Raw genomic sequence first — 2,647 nt, forward strand, 5'->3', positions numbered from 1 at the left:
TCACAGTGGTCTGGTGCACAGATTATTTTGTCTCCCAGGTAATAAAGATAGTACTAGGTAGATATTTTTTTCTTATCCTCTCCCTCCTCCCACTCTCCACCCTCAAGTAGGCCCCAGTGTCTGTTTTTCCCCTTTTTGTGTCCTTGTGTTCCTATGGTTTAGCTCATACTTACAAGTGAGAACATGTGGTATTTGGTTTTCTGTCCCTGCATTAGTTTGCTTAGAATAATGCCCTCTTGCTCCATCCATGTTCTCGCAAAGAACACGATCTCATTCTTTTTTTTGTGACTGCATATAGTATTCCATGGTGTATATATACCACATTTTCTTTATCTCATCTACTGTCAACAGGCATTTAGACTGATTCCATGTTTTTGTTACTGTGAACAGCACTGCAGTGGACATGCACATGCATGTGTCCTTATGGCAGAACAATTTATATTCCCTTGGGATATACCCAATAATGGGAATGCCAGGTCAAATGGTAATTCTGTTTTAAGTTTTTTAAGGAATCGCTATACTGCTTTCCGCAACGGCTGAACTAATTTACACCCCCACCAACAGTGTATAAGTCTTTCCTTTTCTCTGCAACCTCACCAGCATCGTTATTTTTATGTATTGACAAATGATGTCTCATTCAGAGTCCAATGGAGCAGCTGTAAATTTATTGCTAGCATCTGCCTTTATAAAATTCAGGCATTTAACTTCTCATTAGTAGGATTGATAGGGAAGTATATTTTGTTTATATTTATATATTTGTATAAATTTATATATTTATATTTGTCTCTGTATTTAGAGACTATTGGTAAACTTTGCCTGTCCCTAAAAAAAAAAAAGGATATAAAAATTGAGAATGAATAATAAGTCAGGCTTCCTGCTAAATTGCTCCCTTGCTTTGAGGAGCTTTGCCAGCATGAAGAGCCAGTCCACAGCAGCCCCAGATAGTGGTTTTTGGCTAAGCATCAAGTGATTAACATTATTCATATATAGTCCAAAGCACAAAAGCTGGCTATGTTTTATACTAAGATTAGAATTGTGTTGAGTTAAATACAGAATTTAATATTTTGAAATGTTACCAAGAGATTTGATTTTTTAAAAATTGGTGTGCTATGGATTCCTTAATTTTACCTAGAATTATATTGAACTCTAAAACCAAATTTTCGTATGCACATATAATTATGCAACTTCAGTATTCATTTTCAGATTGTCTTACCATCATGGTTTTTTCTGTCTTGCATCAGAAGAAGAAATAGACTCCTTTTCCAAATGTGAGATTTCAAATAGTGCCCATTGGTTCCTTTTTCTTATATCCTAAGAGACTTAGTTCCATCAAGTATTCCTCTATACCAGCTGTCTTTCTAAAGGATCCTTCTTTTCAGTCTAAAATATAACTGAGTCTTGTTCAATTAAAGCAAACAAGCAGCAACATTTTCTGTATCCTACTGACCCTTTATGCCACCGACAAGCCTCTCTTAATGTCTTTATAGTTAAAGTACATTTGAGTCATCTCTGAGTTTAATTTGCTAATCCTTACGCAGTCTTAAGGGCTACTTTTAAGGCCCATTTACTTAACTTTGAAGTTAGAGAACAGCCTAAGTAGGCTAGCTGCCTTGTGGGTCAGTTTGTTGTGAGGATGATGACAGTACTAATTCACAGATTGAAATTGCGCTTTTTATTTTAAAATCACTTATAGAGGCATGTGCTCACTTGTTATTGAAGAATCCTACACAGTCTGTGGCAAACAGATTTAGCTTATAATTGTTGTGGGGGTTTAACATGCTCTTCTATAAAAGGGGATATTTAAGTATATTAATGGAGAATGGCAAAAGGATTTTCTTGGTGTTTCCACGCTACAATTCACCTTAAAACGTCTATCCTTGTATTTTTACTATTTCTGTTTTTCCATTACTTATTCTTGCAGTGGTTTCTGTCTAGCAAGCTAAGGAAAAAATTTAAGCCACCTTGCAAAAACTTGCAATAATGTCTTACTTACAAACTGTTTTCGGTCCACATAGTCCCATATTCTCTAAAAAATTTAATGTTGTTAAAACCAAGCTTTCCTTGAAAATCTCTTATGTTGACTTCTATGTGTCTTCTTTTTCTTTCTCTGGGTCTGGCACGTTCAGCAACAAATGTTTTTGGACCTTCTACTTTTTACTCAAGTTTCTGTTCTTGACTCCTTATAACCCTTTGGTAATTTCGTCAACCAATGGAAAAGTATTTTGTGAATGTACATCTCTAGCCCGGTTCTTTTTCCCAGGTGCTAGCTGAGCATGACAACTAGCTGACTCCTTTATTTGTAAATTTCATATACCTCTTTCTGAAGTTACTTCTCCTCCCCATTCAGCTTTTTGTGTTTGCAATATTGTTCCACCACTCCCCAACTCATGCAAGCTTGATGTTTTAATCAACAATATTTTCCTAGCCTCCTTTGTTAATTCTACTGCTGTCTCCTATATCCCCTCTTTCACACGTCAGTCTCTTATAATCTATCAGAAATCATTACAGCAACTTCATTTTTCTTTTGTACCCCTAAATTTGTCCTGCTCGCATATATTCATCTATTTTTATATTATTTTATTTTATTTTTTATTTTTTGAGACATGGTCTCACTCTCTTGCCCAGGCTGGAGTGCAGTGGTGGTATC

At 35.7% G+C, this 2,647-nt stretch overlaps 1 annotated feature.

The window, feature by feature from the left end:
• Positions 1,449–1,618: an enhancer, noted in NCBI's record as "experimental_98149 CRE fragment used in MPRA reporter constructs". NCBI's record gives its function as "activates a minimal promoter by MPRAs in K562 erythroleukemia cells, with activity observed for the introgressed 7:19450526 variant allele {active_cell/tissue: K562}" and the evidence as "EXISTENCE:reporter gene assay evidence [ECO:0000049][PMID:34662402]".

Source organism: Homo sapiens, chromosome 7 (genome assembly GCF_000001405.40).
Source record: "Homo sapiens chromosome 7, GRCh38.p14 Primary Assembly".
In the NCBI taxonomy this organism is placed as follows: Eukaryota; Metazoa; Chordata; class Mammalia; order Primates; family Hominidae; genus Homo; species Homo sapiens.